This window comes from Homo sapiens, chromosome 8 (assembly GCF_000001405.40).
Source record: "Homo sapiens chromosome 8, GRCh38.p14 Primary Assembly".
NCBI classification, from domain to species: domain Eukaryota; kingdom Metazoa; phylum Chordata; class Mammalia; order Primates; family Hominidae; genus Homo; species Homo sapiens.
In genome coordinates this window covers 19,412,265-19,434,844 of record NC_000008.11, presented here as the reverse complement: position 1 = coordinate 19,434,844, position 22,580 = coordinate 19,412,265, and the positions used below count along the sequence as shown (strand labels likewise).

General features: G+C 42.7%; 1 protein-coding gene across 61 annotated transcripts in view; it reads left to right on the top strand.

Annotated features, from left to right (window-relative positions):
- Nucleotides 1–22,580, top strand: part of CSGALNACT1 (chondroitin sulfate N-acetylgalactosaminyltransferase 1) — a 353,748-nt gene that overhangs the window by 323,064 nt on the left and 8,104 nt on the right. For all 61 annotated transcript variants that reach the window (NR_148898.2, NR_148897.2, NR_148900.2 and 58 more), the window contains 2 exons: nt 14,327–14,505; nt 16,095–16,189. Coding sequence is in view for 53 of the 61 variants with exons in the window: in NM_001354476.2 (NP_001341405.1) it covers nt 14,327–14,505; nt 16,095–16,189 (274 nt within the window). In the remaining 8 variants the exon portion in view is untranslated. The remainder of the gene's footprint in view (nt 1–14,326; nt 14,506–16,094; nt 16,190–22,580) is intronic.

Genomic DNA, 22,580 nt, shown 5'->3' with positions numbered 1-22,580 from the left:
TTTTTCTTAAACAAGGATTTTTAGATAACCATCTCATTTGCTAAAATGAAATAAGCTGCACAGTAGATCCCTCCCAAGCAGATAATTAGTCTCGGACCCTGGGAAACAGGGACAGGGAGTAGCACCTTGCAGATGAAGGCAGTATCTCAGGCCTCTGACCATCTCACCTGGCATTTGCCAGAGGCTTTGCTAAGCGTGATTCTGCTTTGTGTGCCAACTCTTTGTGGAGATGTGCCTGCATTCTGAATTGTTTACTGGGGATTTGAATATGCTATATAAATTATGATGTAAAAATGTTAATTTCCTGAGTATGATTATTATATTTTTCTAATGAACCAGGAGAGTATCTTGCTTCTTGGGAGATGCATGTCTTCAAGGGTGAAGTTGTCATGATGTCTGAAACTAACTCTCAAATCCTTCAGAGAGAGAAAAAAAGCAAATGTGGTAAAATGTTAACACTTAGTGAATCTAGCCAAGGGTATGTGGGCACTTATTATACTATTCTTATAGCTTTTCTGAAGGTTTAGAATTTCTCCAAATAAAAATGTGGGGAAAATATATTATGAAAAACAATTAAATGATATTAGTGCATGCAGTGGAATAGAATGCACTGTTTAAAAGAAGAAGAGTCAGAGCAGTGAAAATGGAGTAAAGGCCTCTGCAAACACTCCTCTCTACAAAAGCAGTAAGAAAATTGGAAAAAAATAGAATCACTTTTCTCAGAACTCTAAAAATTAACCAAAGTTTGCAACAATCTGGAGAGCATTTATCCAAGAAACATGGATGAATTTTGGTGTGAAAGGGAGCTTTATGGAGGTTTAACTTGCTCTATTCCCATCCCTGACTCCAGCTCTCTGGTAAGCTGGAAATTCAACAGCCCACAAGCACAGTGATCACCACAGCCTGGCAGCCAGTGGTGAAACAAAATGGGGTTGGAGATATTTAAAGCAGGTGTGTCCAATCTTTTGGCTTCTCTGGGCCACACTGAAATAAGAAGAATTGTGTTGGGCCACACATAAAATATACTAATACTAATGATACCTGAAGAGCTAAAAATAAAATCTCGTAATGTTTAAAGAAAGTTTATGATGTTGTGTTGGGTTGCATTCAAAGCTGTCCTGGGCCACATGCATTGGACAAGCTTGCTTTAAAACATCACAACCAGAGAGTTGTCACTATTTGAACTGTCCGGAGGTTCCTCGGAAGACACCACTCACAAGGTTGTCTTTATTTGACCTGACTCAGAGCTCTTCCAATGCAGAAAGTATTTTCTTCAGGGAGAGCATTTGTCTAAAACAATTATAGGAAGTGTTTAACTTTGTGGCTGCCCGAGGCAGTGGTTAAGAGTTGGGGCAAACAATAGACTAATCAAAAAGCTTAAAAGGAAATACTGGGAGATTAGATATTCATAGGGCCTTTGAAAAGCTCCAGCACATTCCTGAAAACCTAAGGACCATGTACCTCTCTAGGGCTATGCTCCTACTTAAAACCCATGTATGTCCTAAGCTCCCACTTGTGGCTGACCTTCAGGCTCTGTGGAAGCAAGAAGTAAAGGATAAATAAGGCATTGATTGCCTGGCTGAGTGCTGAAGGTGTATCCCAATATGCAAACAGAATCCCTCAGCGAAATCAGAGAGACTTACTGGTTCCAGTCATTTAAGGAAAATGTTGTCCACTCATTAGCTGACCATTAAGTGGTCGCACAATAAAGAATTGAGACTTTATAGAATTAGTTCAGAAAAGTCACTAAACAAACAACAAAAAACCTGGGAGAAGGAGGAGATTCTACTTTCTAGGCTTACCATAATACATTTTTTTAAATGTTCAATTTTTAGCAAAAATTATGAGGCATGTGAAGAAACTAAGGCTCATGCACGAGAAAAAAAAAATCGGTCATTAGAACTTGTCCTTAAAGAAGCTTAGATGTTTGACTTAATAGACAAAAATTTTTAATCAGTTGTATTAAGTATATTCACAAAAGTAAAAACACATTTAAAGAACTGAAGTATATGAAAAACATGCTATACTAAATACAGAATATCAACAAGGAAGTAGAAACTATTTAAAAGAACCAAATAGAAATTGTAGTGTTGAAAACTACAATAACAAAAACGAAAAATTAATAAGGCAGAGGAGGCTTAACAGCAGGTTTGAAGAAGCAGAAGAAATAATTGGCAAACTTCAAGATAAGCCAACTGCAATGACTCAGTCTCAGAAAAAAACAGAAAAAAGAATGAAGAAAATGAACAAACCTGAGATTCATGGGATACCATCAAGCATACAAACATATGAATAATGGGAGTCAAGAAGGGGATAGAGAAGGGCACCTAAAAATATTTGAAGAAATAATGGCTAAAAATTTCTCAAATTTGATGGAAAACATTAATCTACATATCTAATAATCTTAACTCCAAATAGAATAAATTCATAGAAATCCACATTAAACTTATAATCACATTTTTGAAATCCAAAGACAGAGAAAGAGAAGCAACTCATCCAGTACAATGGATCCTTGATAAGATTAATAGCTGAATTCTCATCAGAAACAATGGAGGCCAGAAAGTGGGATAACATTTTCAAAGTGAGAAAAAGATTTCAACTAATAATTCTGTTATCAGCAAAACCATTCCTTACAAATGAAGGCAAAATTAGGACATTCCCAGATAAACAAATAAAGAGACTTCATCACTAATAAACATGCCCTGTATGAAATACTAAGAGGAGTCCTTGGGGCGGACATGAAAGGACACTAGACAAATCCACATGAAGACGTAAAGATTGCCAGTGAAGTAACTACATAGGCAAATATAAACGATAGTATAAATGTATTTTTGTTTGTGACTCTTTTTTTTGTGCTGATTTAAAAGACAGCTTCATAGAAAAAAATTATAAATCTGTGTTGATGGGCACACAGTGCACAAAGATGTAATATTAATACAATAACAGCACAGGAATGGAGAGGGAACAGAGGAATACAAAATCTAACTAGACTTATAACAAGCAAATGGATTGATTTAATTAAAAAAAAAAAGAAAAAAGAACTTTCCACAGAGGAAAGCCCAGGCTTCGCTGCTGATTTCTACCAAGTGTTTAAAGAATTAACACTAGTGTGTCAAAAACTCTTCCAAAAAAATTGGAAGAGGAGAGAACACTTTCCAACTTACTCTTTGAAGCCAGCATTACCCTGATAACCTAACCAGACAAAGACAGAACAAGGAAAGAAAACTATAGATCAGTATCCCTATGAATATAAATGCAAAACCCTCAACAAAACACTAGCAAACTGAATCCAACAACATAAAAAAAAAGAATTATATGCAATTACCAAGTGTGATTTTTTTTTCAGGAATGCAAGTTTGGCTCAATATACGAAAATCAATGAAATATGCCATATTAATAGACTCAAGGACAAAAATCACATGACCATCTCAATATGCATAGGAAAAGCATTTGTTAAAAATCCAACATCCTTTTATGATAAAAATCCTCAAACTAGGACTAGAAGAGAACTTCTTTAACCTAATAAAGGACACATACAAAAAACCATCTATGAAAAACATCATACTTAATGGTGAAATACTGAATGTTCTCCCCATAAGATCAAGAACAAGACAAAGGTGTCTGCTTTCACTATTCAATATTGTACTGGGTGTTCTAGCCAGGACAGTTGGATAAGAAAAAGAAATAACAGTCATCCAGATTGGAAAGGAAAAAGTAAATGCTATTCACAGATGATATAATCTTCTATATAGAAAATTACAAGGAATCCACAAAACTATTAGAGCTAAGAACAAATTCAGTAAAGTTGTGAGGTACAAGATCAATATACAAAGGTTAATTGTATTTCTATACACGAGCAATAAACAATCTGAAAATGAAATTAAGAAAACAATTTTCATAGTAATATAAAAAAGGTTTAGAAACATAGAAATGAATGTAATAAAAAAGTGCAAGAATTTTATGCTGAAAACTACAACACAACTTTGAAAGGAATTAAAGAAGGCCTAAATAAATGGAAAGACATCCCATGTTCATTAATATTCTTCAAATGACAGTACTCAGTCAGTCGATCTATAGTTTCAGTACAATCCCTATTAAAATCCAAGATGACTTTCTTGTAGATATGGACAAGCTGATTCTAAAACTCACGTGGAAATGCAAGGGCCCAAAATAGCCAGAACAATCTTAACAGAACAAAATTGGAGGACTCATACTCTCAATTTCAAAACTTATTATAAAATTACAGTAGTTAAGACTTTGCTACTGCTATAAAAATATAGATCAATGGATGGAAAGCAGAGTTCGGAAATAAACCTATACATTTATGGTCATTTGATTTTTAACAAGGGTACCAGATCATCATATGGGGGAAAGAATCATCTTTTTAAGAACGGTTCTGGGATGACTGGATATTCATGTGCAGAGAACGAAAGTTGTTTTCTGTAGTTGATAGGTATACATCCACTATATATACAAAACTTGAAGTCAAAATGGATCAACGACTTAAATGTAAGAGCTATAATTATCAAAGTTTTAAGAGAAAACATAGGTGTAAGTCTTCATGACCTTGGATTAGGCAGTGATTTCTTAGGTGTGACTTTTAAACCCTAGCAACTAGAGAATAAGCAGATAAGTTGAACTTTATCAAAATTAAAAACTTTTGTGCTACCATAAAAGTGAAAAGACAGCTTATATAATGGGATAAAATATTTGCAAATCATAATCTGATAAGGGTCTATATTCAATAACTAGAGAGAGAATTTAACAGTAAAAAGACAACCCAATTTAAAAATGAACAAAAGACTTGGATGTACATTTCTCCAAAGATGATACACAAGTGGCCAATAAGCACAGCAGGACAAGATGGTCAACATCATTAGTCACTAGAAAAATGCAAATGAAACCTACAATGCAAACTACACTCACCGGGATGGCTGTAATCCACAAGTCAATTACAAGTGTCTCTGAGGAGGCAGAGAAATTGGAACTCTTGTCTATTGCTCTTGGGAATGAAAAATGGTGCAGCCACTGTGGAAAACAGTGTGGCAGTTCCTTACATGGTTAAACGTAGTATTATTATCTGACTCAGCAGTTCTGATCCCAGGTATATACCCAAAAGAACAGAAAGTAAGTATTGAAACAAATAACTGTACATGAATGTTCATAGCTGCATTATTCACAATATCCAAAAGGTAGAAACAACTCAAATATCTATCAGCTGATGAATGAAAAGCAAAATATAACATAAGCACACAATGGAATATTATTCAGACATAAAGAGAATGAAGTACTAATGTATGCTGCAATGGGATGAACCTCAAAAACATTGTGATAAATGAAAGTAGCCAGATGTAAAAGGTCAATAATGGCCAGGTGCCAGTGGCTCACGCCTGTTATCCCAGCCTTTTGGGAGGCTGAGGCAGGCAGATCACCTGAGGTCAGGCGTTTGAGACCAGCCTGGCCAACATGGTGAAACCCCATATCTACTAAAAATATAAAAATTAGCCAGGTGTGGTGGCTCACACCTGTAATCCCAGGTACTGGGGAGGCTGAGGCAGGAGAATCACTTGAAACCAGGAGGTGGAGGTTGTGGTGAACCAAGATTGCACCACTGTACTCCAGCCTGGGTGACAGAGTAGGACTCTGTCTCAAAAGAAAAACAACAACAACAAAAAAGGTTGATAATGTATAATCCCATTTATAGGAAATATTCTTTATACATAAATCCATGAAGACAGAAAGTAGATTAAGAGTTGCCAGGGGCTGGGGATATGAGGGGATTAGAACTGACTGTTTCTTGGGTATAGGATTTCCTTTTGGGGTGATGAAAACATTTTGTAACTAGAAAGAGGTGACGGTTTACAGCATCGCGAATGTACTAAATGACACTGATTTATACACTTTAAAATTTTATGTTGTGTGAATTTTAACTCAATAAAAAGTATACATATAAATACACAGCATGCATACACACACACACACACACACACACACACACACACACACACACACACACACATATCATGTCTTATGTGAGAAGGGTGTTTTGTCCTAATCAATGTCTTAAACACCTTGTGTCCTCTGCAGAGCCAGGCATACTTTCCCTCTGTGGAACCAAATTGAACGTGCTGCTGTATAGTAGTTTATTTAAGACATAAAAGAAGCATCGTACTTAATGATGTAAAAGCACAGTATCCACTATTCGCCAGTCCTTATGTAGGGCAGCTTACCCAGGCTTTTTGAGGAAAGTCTCTGATATGGTTTGGCTGTGTTCCCACCGAAGTCTCATCTTGAACTGTAGCTCCCGTAATTCCCACGTGTTGTGGGAGGGACCTGGCGAGAGAGCATTTAATCATGGGGGCATTTTCCCCCACACAGTTCTCATGGTGGTGAATAAGTCTCACGAGATCTGATGGTTTTACAAGGGGAGATCTCTTTTGCTTGGTTCTCATTCTCCCTCACCTGCCGCCACGTAAGATGTGACTTTGCTCCTCTTCTGCCTTCCGCCATGAATGTGAGGCCTCCCCAGCCACATGGAACTGTGAGGCAATTAAACTTCTTTCCTTTAGAAATTACCCAGTCTTCGATATGTCTTTATTAGCAGTGTGAAAACAGACTGATACAGACTCCGATGCTGGTGTACATTCGGGTATTGTGTGGGAAACGGAGGGATGCATGCCTCAGGGTGCAGGGCAAGACAGGAGCTGGGAATTATCCATCCAGACTTTACAGAGCAAGGAGAAATGGCACATGCAATGAGCTAAGTCTGAGGATGGAGGCCACCTGCAGGGGATCCAGAGGAGAAGGAGGAAGGATTGTGTCCTCCTAAGGTAGCAACCTTGAGCCTCTGCCCAGGTTCTTTATGTGTCTTATCCTACACCTACGATGAGACTGCTTCCCTCACCTGGGGCACAGGGAGATACACTGATTAGGAAGAAGGCTTCCCTTCCTCACTTGCCTTGTGCACAGTTACTCACACTTCCCTGTGGCAAAGGTGCATGAGGGCTTGGCATGGTGTTAAGATTGCCACCCTCTAATTTTCTTTCTTTTTTTTTTTGAAGTGGAGTCTTGCTGTGTTGCCCAGGCTGGAGTGCAGTGGCGCGATCTCGGCTAACGGCAAGCTTCGCCCACTGGGTTCACACCATTCTTTTGCCTCAGCCTCCCAAGTAGCTGGGACTACAGGTGCCCGCCACCATGCCTGGCTAATTTTTTGGATTTTTAGTAGAGACAGGGTTTCACCGTGTTAGCCAGGATGGTCTCGATCTCCTGACCTCGTGATCCGCCCGCCTCGGCCTCCCAAAGTGCTGGGATTACAAGCATGAGCCACCACACCCGGCTGCCACCCCCTAATTTTCTAAGGAAACTCCATGCTGGAGGCCTCATGCCAGATGTTTGAATCTCACCATTTTCCTGTGCATCGGCAAATTTGTTTGGTGCCCGCTGAAGCTGGCTTTGATTTCTCGATTCAAAACACAAGCAAACAAAACAAAATTGTATGCATTCGGTGGGCAAGAAAAGACAATCTGAGGATGTAGCCTGGAAGATGGTGAATTCTAATCAGCTGATGCCTGCATTGTGACCATTCTGAGATTCAGAGATGTTCATTTGCTCTTCTTAATGAACTGTGCCTCATGCTCACATGAACTTTTAGAACCGATGGAAAGGCAAAAATGAAGTTCCTAAAGAAACTTGCTAAAACAGGCTTAAAGAAGCTCAGAATCTAGGCAATTCTAAATTAATTATTTAAAGTGCCTACTATGAAAAATTGGATGATAACATGTTCAGCTTTAAATTCTTCACTGTATTCCAATATCTTCAAGAAGTAGAGCTCATAAGTGATTTCAGTATTTAGAGCTGTGAGATTTAAAATCATACATTGGATATAATACTAGTTTTCTATGTAAATTTTTAAAGATTTTTTACAATGAAAGGCTATTGTGAGAAGCGTTACATGAAGAGACTATCCTTGCAGTTGTGGGGAAAAGTCTATATTAGAGTAAATCATATTAGACAGGAAGATCTATCGTTTTTAATCCAGTAATTCTGGGAAATGCAAGTCAATTAGGGAAATTAAATCTCCTGTAGAAACAGTAGCTTTGTCAGGTCATTATAACCTCTATAAAAATGACTCTGTGTAACTTAGAGGAGTCTCCGTGCACCAGATTTATTATATAAAAACAGGAATTGACTGGGAAATGGAAGAGTTTTGTCAGTTGATAATACAATTCAAGAAAAGAAAAAGAAATAATTATAAGCAAATCATGTGATGTTAGTGGAACTGCACGTTCAGTTTCATAACAGGAAGTTATGTAATATAAAATGTAGTGCCCCCATCCTACCGTAATAAATGCACATTTCTTTGCCATTGCTTTAGGGTAACACTAAACATTGTATTTCTTTGTATGAGTAACTTCAACTTTGAACCATATTGCAGTGTATTTTTCTCATCTCTTTTCTGTTATTTACATATTTTTCATCTTCTTAAAAGCTTGGGTTTGTGCCTGTCCTTCAGAATCCATTGGTCACAGCCTCTTTCTGATGTTGGAGGTGGGTGTATATACACAAGGGAGGGGTTTCTCTGGTGCCCATCTGAGTGGGCTGAGCTTTCTTTGGCAGGGAGGCATCTCCATGCAGCACCCTCCTCAGGACAGATCTGAAATGTGCCTGTGTTTTCCATTTGTTCAGCTCTTGATTCGTCCAGTGGATATTGGTCACCCCGTGTGTGCCGTTTACTGCACAGTGCTGGATAATCTCTGAAGGTAGAAAAAAAGTAAGGCAATTGCTGTCCTTGAAGCCTGTGGAGTCTGCTAGAGCCCCTCATACAGATCTGTGCAAGCAAAGGCACTTGAAGGCACCAGGACACAGAGGGACAGAGGCAGGGCTGGGTCAAATGTTGGGAGCTCAGAGTGCGCACTGTAAGTTTGCGGCGAGGCACAGGAGGGGCGGTGATTCTTGACATGGGCCTTAAAGACCGAGTGATGTTCGCAGGAGTAGATGCAGAGCGCGTATTTGAGGGAAGAGAACAGTGAGAAGATAGGATGCCCCAGCCATGCCCACACCTTGGTGAGTCGTCTGTTATGTAAACCAAAAAGAGACTGAGGGAAGGCTCAGTCTATCCGAGTTTTATTTAGCCGAGGTTGAGGATGCACCTAGGAAAATCACAAACCACAGGAGCATCTGCAACCTCTGCTTTTTCCAAAGGGGAAAGAGCTAGGAGGAGGACGAACAAAGGGATGGAGAGCAGGCAGTGAGGTAGATGCTTCCACTCTTGTGAGGCTCTGATTAGCCTCAGTAATTCTCTGTTTTACATGCAAAAAGAGGGAACAGAGGAAAAAATCGATTCTGCATTGCCTCATGCTCAGTAAATCTACATTTTACATCTGAAAAAATGAACACACATAAAAGGAGGGAGTCACGAAAATGAGACTGTGACACGGGGTTGTGAAGTTACAGCTACTGTCAGTGAACAGCAGGAAAATGGTTTTTTGGTTTGTTTGTGTTTTTGAGATGGAATGTAGCTCTGTTGCCCAAGTTAGAGCACAATGGCACGATCTCGGCTCACAGCAACCTCCATTTCCCAGATTCAAGCGATTCTCCTGCCTCAGCCTCCCAAGTAGTGAGGACTACAGGCGCCACCACCACGCCTGGCTAATTCTGTATTTTTAATAGAAATGGGGTTTCACCATGTTGGTCAGTTCAGTCTCGAACTCCTGACCTCAAGTGATCTGCCTGTCTCGGCCTCCCAAAGTGCTAGAATTACAAGCATGAGCCACTGCACCTGGTCAGGAGAACAGTCTTGGTGACTCAGTTCTCAAGCTTAATTCTCCTTTTGGCATGGTGAGTTTGGGGTCCTGAGATTCTATTTTTCTTTCACAATCGGAATCATCTGCTCCTGGCTGGTTACTTGGAAGGGGGGAAGCAGGACAGAGAATAAAGCAGCATGCCTGCCTGGCAACCACTACAGTCTGCATTTGGGGGCTGCAGCCTCATGGCCATGGTGCGGACCTTCCCAAACCACACCATCACACTACGTTGGGCACATCAGTGATTTGAGTTGAAGTGTGTCATTGTGTTTGAATGGTTCTGCTGCCTTTCAATCCACTGTTGAGCAGGGGGCACTCTAGTCTAGTGATGGAGTCCCTGCCCAATGAGCACTGCTTCAAAATGAGGATATGGGGCATTGATAAGTGGCCTGACTACTTGAAGAAGCCAATTCCTCCTCATCTTGTCATATCCTGTTCTAGAGCCCACATGGCCAGTACTGGTAAGTTTCAGATGAGGAGGCTGCCCCACTTCTAGGCCCAGGAGGTTTGGCAAAGACAGGAAGTTGTCTTGATTTTTTTTCATGGTTTTTCCAGTTCAGTCCTCTTTTTTGGCAGAGGGTCTTGGTAATTATCAGAGGCTCTTCCTGATGGCAAGAGAGGAGTTGGAGGGGTTCTTTCAGATCACTGGTTTATTGGAAAAAAGCCTTGGGTTGAGGAATCAGGAAGGAAAATTGTACCATTATTCATCCTCAGACGGACCCCTAGCTGAGCATAATGACCTGGCAGCCACCCTGGGAAACACAGATGGATGACAGAGTTAGCACTCTGGGCCTTCTCCAGTGTCTGTGACTGCCTGATGGTGCTTCCCAAGCCAGCAGTGACTCTGTCCCCACCCTGCCTTCTGTGCACACTCATGTTCAGCTCTCTCATCAGGACCTGGTGAGTGGTCAGGGCTTCAGAGCAGCTCTAACATGGACCCATACTGCCAAGCCAGCAATGTTGCCTTCTGGCCAGTGTTGATCAGGGTGGATGAAAGTCCCAGGCAAAGCTAGATCAGGGCAGAGTCCTGCGTGGGGCAGGGAGAACAGGCAAGCCGAGGTGTCTGGTGCTGTGTGTGTGTGCGCCGGCCCCCATATGGTCCACATGGAAACAGTGCGTGGACAGAGCTGGGTACCACTTCCCAGGGCTTTCTGTGCAGCCTGTGGACACATGAAGTGAATTCAAAATGCATATTCAGATTGGGTAGTGCCATGGATATAACATGCATTGTCTTTTCCTTGTAGAAAGGTTGCATGAAGAGAAAGGAAGCAAATTGCCTTTTGCATTAGGCCATATAAAGTGTTCCCCAGCATCCATTTGCCTGAATTTTCTTTCTCTAGAAGCAACACATCATGGAAGCATAGGGATTTACATTTTAAGGCTTAAAAAAAAAGTTCTTCCAAATTAAGGTCATGTCAGACACTAGGTACCTTAAGTTCTTCCCACCCCTTTTCCCATGACTATGACAGGAAGCCCATCCTGTACCCAATCCTCTGTTGCAGCAGAGGAGAGAACAGCATTTATTAGCAACAGCTCAAGCCAGGGTTAGGGGATTCATGCACAGAATAAACTAGATTAACTTGTGCATTAGGTAAGCATGCACACCACCAAATTACCACTCTTCCCTCTAAATTTGTAGCACTGTCTCTACCGTTCACTCAGCAGTTAATCAATCACTTGTAGACTCGTCATTTCTTTCATGCTGTTTCCTCAGTTTCTAACACTGTCTTGTATTCTTATTTAATTACTCAACATGATTTAACTTTTGTAAATATTTGGCCTATCTATACAAATGGACTGTAGGCTGTTCAAGGGGGAGATTCTTGATGTCGCAGCTCATTTAATGCAGCCTATTAAGAGCCTATGTTCTTCTTCCCTTGGCAAAAGTCACTTGCTGTTGTTCAGGTATTTTTGTAGTTGAACTCTCCTGTAGTAGATCCTAGAAACCCTCCTGGAGAAGGTACCTGAATTATGAGTCAGGTGCAACCTGAGTGAGGAAGGACTTGCTCATACATTGTGTTTGTGCTCTGAAAGTTAGAAGATATCCCTGTATAATGGGGAGGAAGAGGTCCCAAAAGATAGGAACCTGGAAACAGCGAAGAAAGAGAATTGCTACTGGCTGTATATATTAAATACATAGAAAGTTAAAGCAAGATGGACTCCAGGATCAGGTGCCTTTAGATGAACAGGTAAAAATCCAGGCATCTCCCATGGGTAAACCTTTCCTGGAAACTGACCAAACCGGGAAGGGAAAAATGGGTTGACCTGACTTACAGGAGCTGGGGCTGCAGACACCTCTAAGAGACATGAAGGTGCTCGCAGTGACCTCACACCATCTGAATGTCTTTGGAGACGGGAGGATAGCGTGTCCTTGACTGGTGCCATACCTAATACTGAAAAGGTTTTGAGCATAACTTCAATGCAACACACAGAAAATGTGCAATGGGGGCACCCCCCCAGAGAAAAGACTCAAGATAAAGTTCTGAAAGAGGAAGAGAATCCCTGCAAATGTAGAGTGGTGCTGAAGTGAATGCAGGATCATAGGAAAAATAGAGTCTTGTCCAGGTGTGGTATCTCATGCCTGTAATCCTAGCACTTTGGGAGGCCGAGGCAGTAGTACCGCATGAAGCCAAGAGTTGGGCAACAAAGTGAGACTCTGTCTCTATAAAAAATTTTTAAGAATTAGCTGGGCATGGTAGCATGCACTTGTAGTCCCAGCTACTTGGGACTTGGCTGAGAGAAGAGGATTGCTTGAGCCCAGGAGTTTGAGGCTGTAGTGAGCTATGATCATGCCACTGCACTCCAGCCTGGGTGACAGAGCAAGACCCTGTCTCTAAAAGAAAAAGTGTATTATATACAAGTATATATAATGTACATATGTAAAGTAAGTTTTTTTAACCAAAGAAAAATAGCGTCTTAGTGTGTAAAGGGGAATTTGAGCTCTGTAACCACTGGATTTTGTACCTGGAAACAGAGACAAAAGGGGTAGAGTGACTTGCCTCAAATCCATCAGAGGCACAGCTAGGTTTAGAATGATTCATACATTCATACACTCATTCAGAAACATCTGTTGAACACTTATGGGGCCCCAGGCACAGTTCTAGTCCTGGATCCAGGTTTCCAGACTCCTAGACCAGTGCTCTACCCATCATGAGGCCTCCTAACCTGATCCAAATCTGAAAGGCATGTTTGGCATCAAACTCTGACATGGGCTCACTGATCCCTAAGATAAGAATCCAAGCTCACTCCCAGATCCAAAAGAAGAAGATGAGTCAAGGAGGGAGTCGCAGAACTAGTTTTACTGATTCAATTCCAGATACAAATACAACTTAGCATTTTAAAAGTTTATGACTCTATGTTTGCGTTGGCCTTTACCCGAGACGGGTACTTGGAATGCAAACTTTACAAACTGGAAATGAGTTTCTGTACCTTTTGGAAAGAAACAGTAGAGAGAAGTTGGGGCATGGGGATAGGCCAGGTAGCTGGTAGGACGGGGAGTGTGAGAGGAAAGGAAGCCATTAGGAAAAGAAGGGTGTCGTTGACAGGAAAAGGGATTTGCTAGGCTGAAAGAAGACTGAAGGTGGTTCTCTAGTATTATCTGGTAGAAGACAATACCTGTCCCACTGGGCATGGAATGAATTCGTGGAACGTTAGCTTAAGACAGGCCCCATTTCAGAAGGTTCTGCTGTCCCTGGGAAAGAACAACGAATGCGAGAAACATCCTGGCTTCACTGCCTGGGGCCTGGGAATCCTTGCCCATGCTAATCACAGCAATAGCTGATGCTTACAGAGTGCTGTATACTCTTGGCACTGTTTATCTCACTAATAACCCTGTGGGATAGTGAAGGAAGGTGTTACTACACCTATTTAGCAGATGAGGCAACTGAGGTTCAGGAAGATTCATGGGCTGGCCTAGATCACAGAGCTATCTGTAGGAGAGCCAGGCCTGAAACAGTCCTCTTCTAACTGCAAGTTGGTCATTTTTCCTGCCATGCTGTGCTGCTTTACCCGAGGATGCGGAAGGAATCTGGGTTTAAATCTGTTTGGAGGAAAGATTCACATCAAGAACATTTTGCCTGGCTCCTGGATGTGAATGCAGATGAAAAGATGCTAAGTGGGGCCATTGCAATGTGATCTTATTTCCTTGGCTCAGTGGCCTCATTCGGTTGGCTCAGGATGCACGAAGATTTTCCAGGGTTGTGTTTCTAGTCTTACCTGGTTCAAGTTTTCTCCATCACAAAGAATAGTCATTAATGATGACAAGAGTGTTTTCAATACGGGGAAACTGCCAGAGAAACAAGGAAGAAATTAGTGTTAAAACTCCACTAGGTGTTCTTGGTACCTTCGATCCCAGTGAGTATCCTGTGAGTCTGGGCCGTTCTGTAACTTCTTGGGGAGTCCCAGTGCCCTCAGGTTACAAAAGAAATGGGTCAAGATGTGGATGGGCCCTGATTACATATTTTCTCAGGGGATGCTGCCAACATGTGGGAATGTGAGTGACAGTACCTGGTCTTGCCTTTCAGAGCTGCCAACTTCAGGAACTTTACCTTCATCCAGCTGAATGGAGAATTTTCTCGGGGAAAGGGACTTGATGTTGGAGCCCGCTTCTGGAAGGGAAGCAACGTCCTTCTCTTTTTCTGTGATGTGGACATCTACTTCACATCTGAATTCCTCAATACGTGTAGGCTGAATACACAGCCAGGTATGGATCATCTCTCTGTCACGCTCAGGTGGCCCCCAGCCCTCTCGGGCCCATGTGTCGTCCTCTTGATGGGTCAGTCACTCTGATGTCCTGCTTCTGAATCAGCCTGTTTTACTTCAATAGCAAAGAAAAGGAAAACCATCTGTATTAGTCTGTTCTCACGCGGCTAATAAAGACACACCTGAGACTGGGTAATTTATAAAGGAAAGAGGTTTAATGGACTCATAGTTCTGCATGGCTGGGGAGGCCTCACAATCATGGAAGAAGGTGAAGGAGGAGCAAAGGGAAGTCTATCATGGCAGCAGGCGAGACAGTGTGTGTAAGGGAACTCCCATGTACAAAACCATCAAATCTCTTGAGACTTATTTACTATCATGAGTACAGCATGGGAAAACCTGTCCCCATCATTCAGTTACCTCCCACCAGGTCCCTTCCAGGATATCTGGGGATTATGGGAGCTACAATTCAAGATGAGATTTGGGTGGGGACACAGCCAAACCACGTCACCATCTGGTTTGACTTCTCCTTTGAGGCCACATCATGGGCCTGTCAGCCACCATAATTCTGGGACTCTTTTCCCAAGTTCATGTCCATAACCCCTCTTCCGTCTGCAACTGGGAGGTCAGCTTTCATGAACATTCCCAGGAGAAAGCGAGGTGGGGAGGAGGTGGAGCTGGAAAACTGCCAACCCTAAAGAGAAAGGAGTACCTTTGGGCAGTTACCTAGGGTAGAAGAGCTATTCGCACAAAGAACCCACAGTACTAAAATGACTTTCACAGACTCCACTCATAGGCAAGGCTGCTATTGAGCTGATGAACACTGGCACAGCCATGCCAGTTGCTAAAATACAGAAATTCTTTTGTGTAAATTGATAAAGAGCAACCACCCTGGACACTCTAAGTCTAGTCCAACTGCCCAAAGTCACCCTGACCCAAAGTCAACCATTTAAGATGATCCCATGAGCCAGCAAGTAAAGGGTTAATGTTTGGCGGGGCTGGGGCACCAGGACTCTCTTTCACACCCCCTCCCAAGGCGTGATGCCCAGTGCTTGGTCATGGTCTGTCAGTATTCCAAATATCATTCCTGCGCTGGGAGATCAGAAATATTTGCAGATATGACTGTCTGGTCCACTTGGTGCTGCACTTCTAAGACCCATTTTAGAGTTGAGTCAAGGGAAAAGGAAAAGTGGCTGCAGGCCGGGCGCAGTGGCTCATGCCTGTAATCCCAGCACTTTGGGAGGCCGAGGCGGGTGGATCATTTGAGATCAGGAGTTTGAGACCAGCCTGACCAACATGGTGAAACCCCATCTCTACTAAAATAAAAAAATTGGCCGGGTGTGGTGGCGGGCACCTGTAATCTCAGCTACTCAAGAGGCTGAGGCAGTAGAATCACTTGAACCCAGGAGGCAGAGATTGCAATGAGCCAAGATTGTGCCACTCTATTGCAGCCTGGGTGACAGTGAGACTGCCTCTCAAAGAAAAAAAAAGTGGGTGCAAATATCTGGGGTGTTTCAGAGGGCCAAATGTCAAGGAACAAACCTACTACTTGGATCTGTCACTTTAAGTGAATGTTTGTTTTCTGGTTTGTAGGGAAGAAGGTATTTTATCCAGTTCTTTTCAGTCAGTACAATCCTGGCATAATATACGGCCACCATGATGCAGTCCCTCCCTTGGAACAGCAGCTGGTGAGTAATTACCCTGCAGATGGCTCTGTGTGGCTCTGTTTAGTGTCTGTCATTACCAGGGGTACCTGACCATGAGCAAAGGTGAGTAGAAATCTGTGCAATGATTCCCTTAGTAGTTTTTACGTTTGGCAGATGTGCTGGCCTCTGCTCCCGGCGCCTCGTTGATTAAAAGTGCTTGCAATATTTAAAGTGGAAAATAAATGGAAGCAGTACTTTACAGAGAGGTAATTTCACACCTTCATAGTTTCCATCACTGGTTTTTGGAAACTGGTATTGTTGCATTATGGATGCAGTACAGTTTCTCTTGATTTTTGCAAAATCCTACAAGGTAACAAAGGTGAGATTTATGTTCCCATTTGACAGAAATCAGAATGGGGTGGCTCACCCCAGAGAGGGCCAGAGCAATTCCCTGGACCTTGCAGGCAAATAAGGTCTTTGTGAATTTGAAGTGGAAACTCCCAGTGTGCTCCCAGTGCCCTTCCCGTCATGCCACCGTTCCCTTCCCATCATGCCACTGTTCCCACACATCACAGTGTTTGGGTAGACGTTAGCATTAAAGGTGTCACTGGCAAGGTGGCTCTCAAAGGAATATTGGAAGGACTTCTCTGCTAAGATCCTGGCTGCACAGGTGATGGATAGTGGATGCACACAGCCCCCAAGGGTCCCTGTAGGGTGAGATGTCTCTGTTGTCACAGGCAGTTAGTCCACTTTGCAGAGAAGCAATGCAAGCAGCAGGAGGAAAGGCAAGCCAGAAGAGGATCTCTGTGTCTTCTGGGCATGGCCCCCATGGATGGAATTTCCCGGTATTGTTGACAGCATTGGCAGAGAGGGAAAAGGCCCTTCTCCCACCTCAAGTTGGGCTGTGATTTTTTCCTGCGGGGAGATGAGCCAGGTTTGTCTGAAGCTGTGTTCTGGCCCAGGCTGTATCTCATGGTGGCCTTCCCATCTGAGGGACGTCTGTTCTTCTTTGCTGTGGGTAGCTCTGCCTCTTGCTAAAGAAAATCCATGCTTCTTCCCACTGAGGACCCCTTAGGGTGGAGGAAGGACATCTGCTGTGGGAACCTGAAGACACGATAGCACCAGGCCTCTGATGCTTCCGTACAATGGGAGAGTAAACTGATTTCCATCCAAAACCCATGTTCTGGATGCGTTTGAGGATTGACTTTGTGTGTAAGCTTCTAGAAATAGCAAAACCTGTTGTTTCCAGCCCCATCCTGTGCCTTTCATCCTCTCTCCCCAAGTTAACCTCTGGCAACTGATATTATGATATTTTCCAGAAAGTTTCAACTTTGGGGCCCTCAGGTTGGACAATGTCATGTCTTATATCCTAGCATGGCTTCATTTTGGGGTGCACCAGGTTTACTAATAATACAGTTCTCTTTTCCCCTAGTGGAATTGCAATACCACAGATATACTGTGTATCTGTTTTTGTAGTGTATCTGTATCTGTGCTTTATACATAAAAACAGTAAGAGTTTTTCACGTCTTAAGAATCAGTTTTCAGCTGGGTTTGGTGGCTCATGTCTTTAATGCCAGCACTTTGGGAGGCCGAGATGGGCAGATCACTTGAGGCCAGGAGTTTGAGACCAGCCTAGCCAATGTGTCAAAACCCATCTCTACTAAAAAATAAAAAATTAGGCGTGCATAGTGGCACACACCTACAGTCCCAGCTACTAGGCAGGTTGAAAATCGCTTGAGCCTGGGAGGCAGAGGCTGTAGTGAGCTGAGATCGCACCACTGCACTCCATCCTGGGTGATGGAGTGAGACCCTGTCTCAAAGAAAAAAAAAAAGTGAGTTTTCATCTATAGTCATGTGTTACTTAACAATAGAGAGATGTCATGTATCGTCAGGCAATTTCATCATTGTGCAAACATCATACAGCGCACTTATGCAATCCTACATAACATAGCCAACTACACACGTAGGCTGTATGGTACAGGCTGTTGCTCCTAGGTTACAAACCTGTACAGCATGTGACTGTCCTGAATACTACAGGCAATTGAAGCACGATGGTATTCAGTATCTAAACATAGAAATGGCACAGGAAAAATATGGTATAAAAGATTTTAAAAATGGTTCCCATGAGTGGAGCTTGTAATACAGGACTAGAATTTGCTCTGGGTGAGTAAATGAGTGGATGGTGAGTGAATGTGAAGGCCTGTGACATTACTGTCCACTACTGTGGACTTTATAACCACTGTAGACTTAGGTGACACTAAACTTATTTTTTAAAAGTTTTCCTTGGCCGGGTGTGGTGGCCCACACCTGTAATCCCAGCACTTTGGGAGGCCGAAGCAGGTGAATCATGAGGTCAGGAGTTCGAGACCAGCCTGGCTAACATGATGAAACCCCATCTCTACTAAAAATTCAAAAATTAGCTGGGCATGGTGGTATGCGCCTGTAATCCCAACTACTCCACAGGCTGAGGCAGGAGAATCACTTAAACCCGGGAGGCAGAGGTTGCAGTGAGCCGAGATCGTGCCACTGCACTCCAGCCTGGGCAACAGAGCAAGACTCTGTCTCAGAAAAAAAAAAAAAAAAAAAAAGTTTTCATTTCTTTAATAATAAGTTAACCTTGCCTTCCTGGGTGATCACCATCTCATATGCAGCCTGTTGTTGACGGAAATGTTGTTAGGCAGCACATGAGTTACACTTACAAGAAAATGTTTTTAAATCTTTTACATCAGATTTTTCCTGTACCTTTTCTATGTTCAGATACACAAATACCATTGTGTTACAATTGCTTATGCTTACAGTTGTGTCGTTAAGCAGCACGTATCACCCTCATTGACAGAGAAACTTCTCGCTTCCTTTCCCAGAGTTCTAAGCTTCTAATTGGATTGAAAGGGAAACAGGATATAGGATTTATTTTCTTTCTGCCAATCAAAGTTAAAGTTCCTTTGGGTTTAAGTAATGTGTTGTTTTGCATTTGACATAGAATGTGATTAACATTTCCATTTCAAATTCATAAAGACCTTATTTGCTTGCAAGGAATTGTTTTCGTTTTACAATCCAAAAGATTTTTCTTTGTATTATTATTCCTGCAGGGTAGGAGTTGCGAAGGGAATCAGAGGCACAGTGCAGTTAGGCAAGTTTCTCACATCCTCAGAATTAGTGGTGAAAGCAGAAACCACTCAGATTCCCTGTGTCCATTGTTGCCACAGGCTGTGAATTATCCTGCAGCCTCTGACATTTACTTCCAAATGCAATTTTGACCTTTCCTAGACCACAGAAGTCTGATATTTTAGAGTTCAGTATTTATGACTATTTAGTTTGGTGAAACAGCAATTCTTCTCCTTGAGATGAAGGACTCCCCCTTCCCAAAAGAAGAGTATGCTTATGTTTTTTACTGGACAAACCAGTTCTTGAGTGCTCGCTGCCTACGGGGGACTGGCCTAGGTGCGAGAGGAGAAGTCAGAAGAAATGAAACGCTTTCATTACTTGGTAGTAATTTGTGAGAGTGTTTCCTCACTTTCTTCTTTTTATAGAGGTGAACTGGCTTGTTCAGGATTGTACAGCTAGCTAGTGGCAGAGCTCAGGGCAAGAGATTTCCTTCTATCAGTACAGAGGCAAGAGATTTGCTTAGGATCTAGATGAGAACTGACGTATGAAGGAAAAGTCTTGACAAAAATTCCAAAGGAGAACTTGAAACTATAGAAAGTAATAGAATGGAGATGGATTATTTAGGTGGGGAGAAGATGTAAAATTAAAAGTAATGGTTGGAGATGGATCAGTTAGTAATGACTTCCTACTAAGGGTACGTTCTGACTCAGTCTTGAAAGAGATGGTACCTATATATTAATTACTACATCCTTGATAGCCTTCTTGGAATACATCAGTATCAAAGGTGAAGGGAGAACAGAGATCCAGAATGCTGCTCTAATGAAAGTTAGTTTTGCAAACAAAAGACAATCTTTACTAGCAGCCTTTGAAATAGGATCACATTAGTCAATGTATGTTATTCCTTCTTGTGACTGTTGCCACTGTCATTTGATAGTGTTTTGCCTGCAGACAAAAGCAAGAAACCACATTTATGATAGTGTGTGTGTGTGTGTGTGTGTATGTGTGTGTTTTGACTACTGTTTTTTCCTTGTATGTATAGACCAGCAGTAATTCATATTAAGTGAAACTATGGGATTTTATACTAACATTTAAATTTTTTTAGTTTAAACCATGAGATAAAACTTGCTGGTGCTTTCATGTGTAGAAACAGTTCGCTGAGAAAGGAATGACTATAATTTAAACAAACATTAACTTTAGACGTTTCACATTCCTGGTTCAAGCTTTGCCAGTTCCTGTTTAGGTCACTGCAGGAGCCTCCTACCACTTCTATCTTAAGCCTCCTTCCCTCCCCTAGACTCCGGTTTTTTGTTCACCCTCTGCCAGAGATAGGTTTCTAAATCACAGATTCATTCAGTTTTTTAAGCAATCTTTGGGCACAGAGCCAGAGATGTGCTGGTAAATATTTAACAACCTGCTCTCTGAAGAGGGGGTGCAGGAGAAAGACCTGATTTATAGCATTTGCCAATTTCCATGGTGTAAATACTCCCACCGTGGCCTATTTCAGGCTACCAGCATGACGTCACTGAACACAAGGTTGGGAAGAGATTTGTCCAATCCTTGTGAGCTGGTGCAAGCTGGCTCCAGCACAGCACTGCAAGCCCTGAGCCCTTGTTGGGATTCATTGTCTTCCACAGACCAACTCTCAAATGGATGCAGAGAAAATATCTGTAAACCCCAGAACCTGGCACATGGTACCAGCTCCATAGTCACCCAAGCCAGCCTTGTTGCCAGGTGAGCACACCTGCTCAGTCTCCCTGGCTGTCTCTGCTCCTCAAGGCCACCTCCTTATCATTTCTAATGCCCACGGCATCCGACATGCACATCTTAGTCTGCCATGTGGTCTTACCCGTCAGTTAAATCTGATGACTTTGTGATACTGTTCAGTGTGTGCATAGCATGCTGGCTTCTGTCCTTGCCCTCTCTCTGGTCACACCCTTGACCTCTCTACCTCCCTTCAGAAAGTATTTTACTATTGCAGTTCAGTTGAAACCTTTTTGTAAATTGCCAAATGAGCATGGCACATCCTATGCATCCTTGCATTCTGTTTCTATTTATTCAGGAAACATACACCCGCTGAATACCAAAATTAATGTGAACAGAGGCCCTTTATGGAGCCTTTCCAGAAGCCAGTCCGGTGCCCACGTTATCTCACGTAATACTCAATAAGGGGAAGAGGTGCTATTATTCTCATTTCACAGATGAGGAATTGAGGGCCAGATGCCTGTAGCGGCTAAGTGGCAGGGGTGAGAACTCGAGTGCCACACTATGTGACCGCACCTGGGCTGAGGATGCTGGGCAACAGGGGATACATCCTTTGCCCTCAAAGCGCTTCATGGGGGCAACGAGGGCATTTAGTTTTAGATGATAGGTTCCTGGAAATGGCAGAACCTGGATGACTCCTTGTCCAGCATGATTCCCTTGAAGACACAATGTGTTTTCTATGAAAACACCTAGAAAAGACTTACAGGAAATTGTGAATAAGTGCAAATACATCTGGAAGGAGATGGCCTTTGACTGTGTTCTTAAATGAGTCTTCTAAAGCTGTGGATGTAGGATACCTTATTTCTCAAGATGTGGAACTGTCCCCGGAGTCTTAGAATTGTTTTGGGCTTGGCAACATTGGCTGGGTGATCTTGGGCAAGTCATTCTGTCTTCATACTAAGAAGCCACAAGAAGAGGGCATGCAGCCCTCCTGGCACCCTGTGCAGCATGATCACTGAGCCCTCAGGGCCCAGATAGTAAGGAATGGACAGCCTGGGCTGGGGGCCCCCAGCCTGGACACAGACGTCCTCATAGCTCAGGGAGTCTTCTCCTCCCAGGCCAGAAACTGCTATGTAATTGACATGACCCAATACAAGATGAAAATGTGAGCCCCTGATCAAAAGGTATTACAAATTTCACAACAGTGACAGCAGGCCTTGGGGCCTTCCATGTATGGGGGCCCTGTGCAGCTACATGGGTCACTTTGTAAGCCGGCCCTGCTAACGGGCGTTGCTGTGAATGCAAGGTAGACCAGACGCAGCCTCAGTGCTGAGGAGAGACTCTGATTGAAAGGAGGCGCTCTGCCTGAGTAGTTGCTATTTATTTTATTTTAGGGTCCAGATTGCTTCATGGGCAAGTGGCCAAGTCGGCACCATTAAACCAGACAGGCACTGACCACGGCCCCAGCTCACATGCAGCTGCAGGGCGGCTGCCTTCCCACATCTTTGGGGAGAGATGCTGATTTGTGCTTTGTGTTTTGGTCCTAATAGAAAATAATCATCCCTGTCACGTGAATCGTCCACAGAGCTGTGGCTCTGGAAACTTCCTGTGAGAGAGCAGGGCTGAC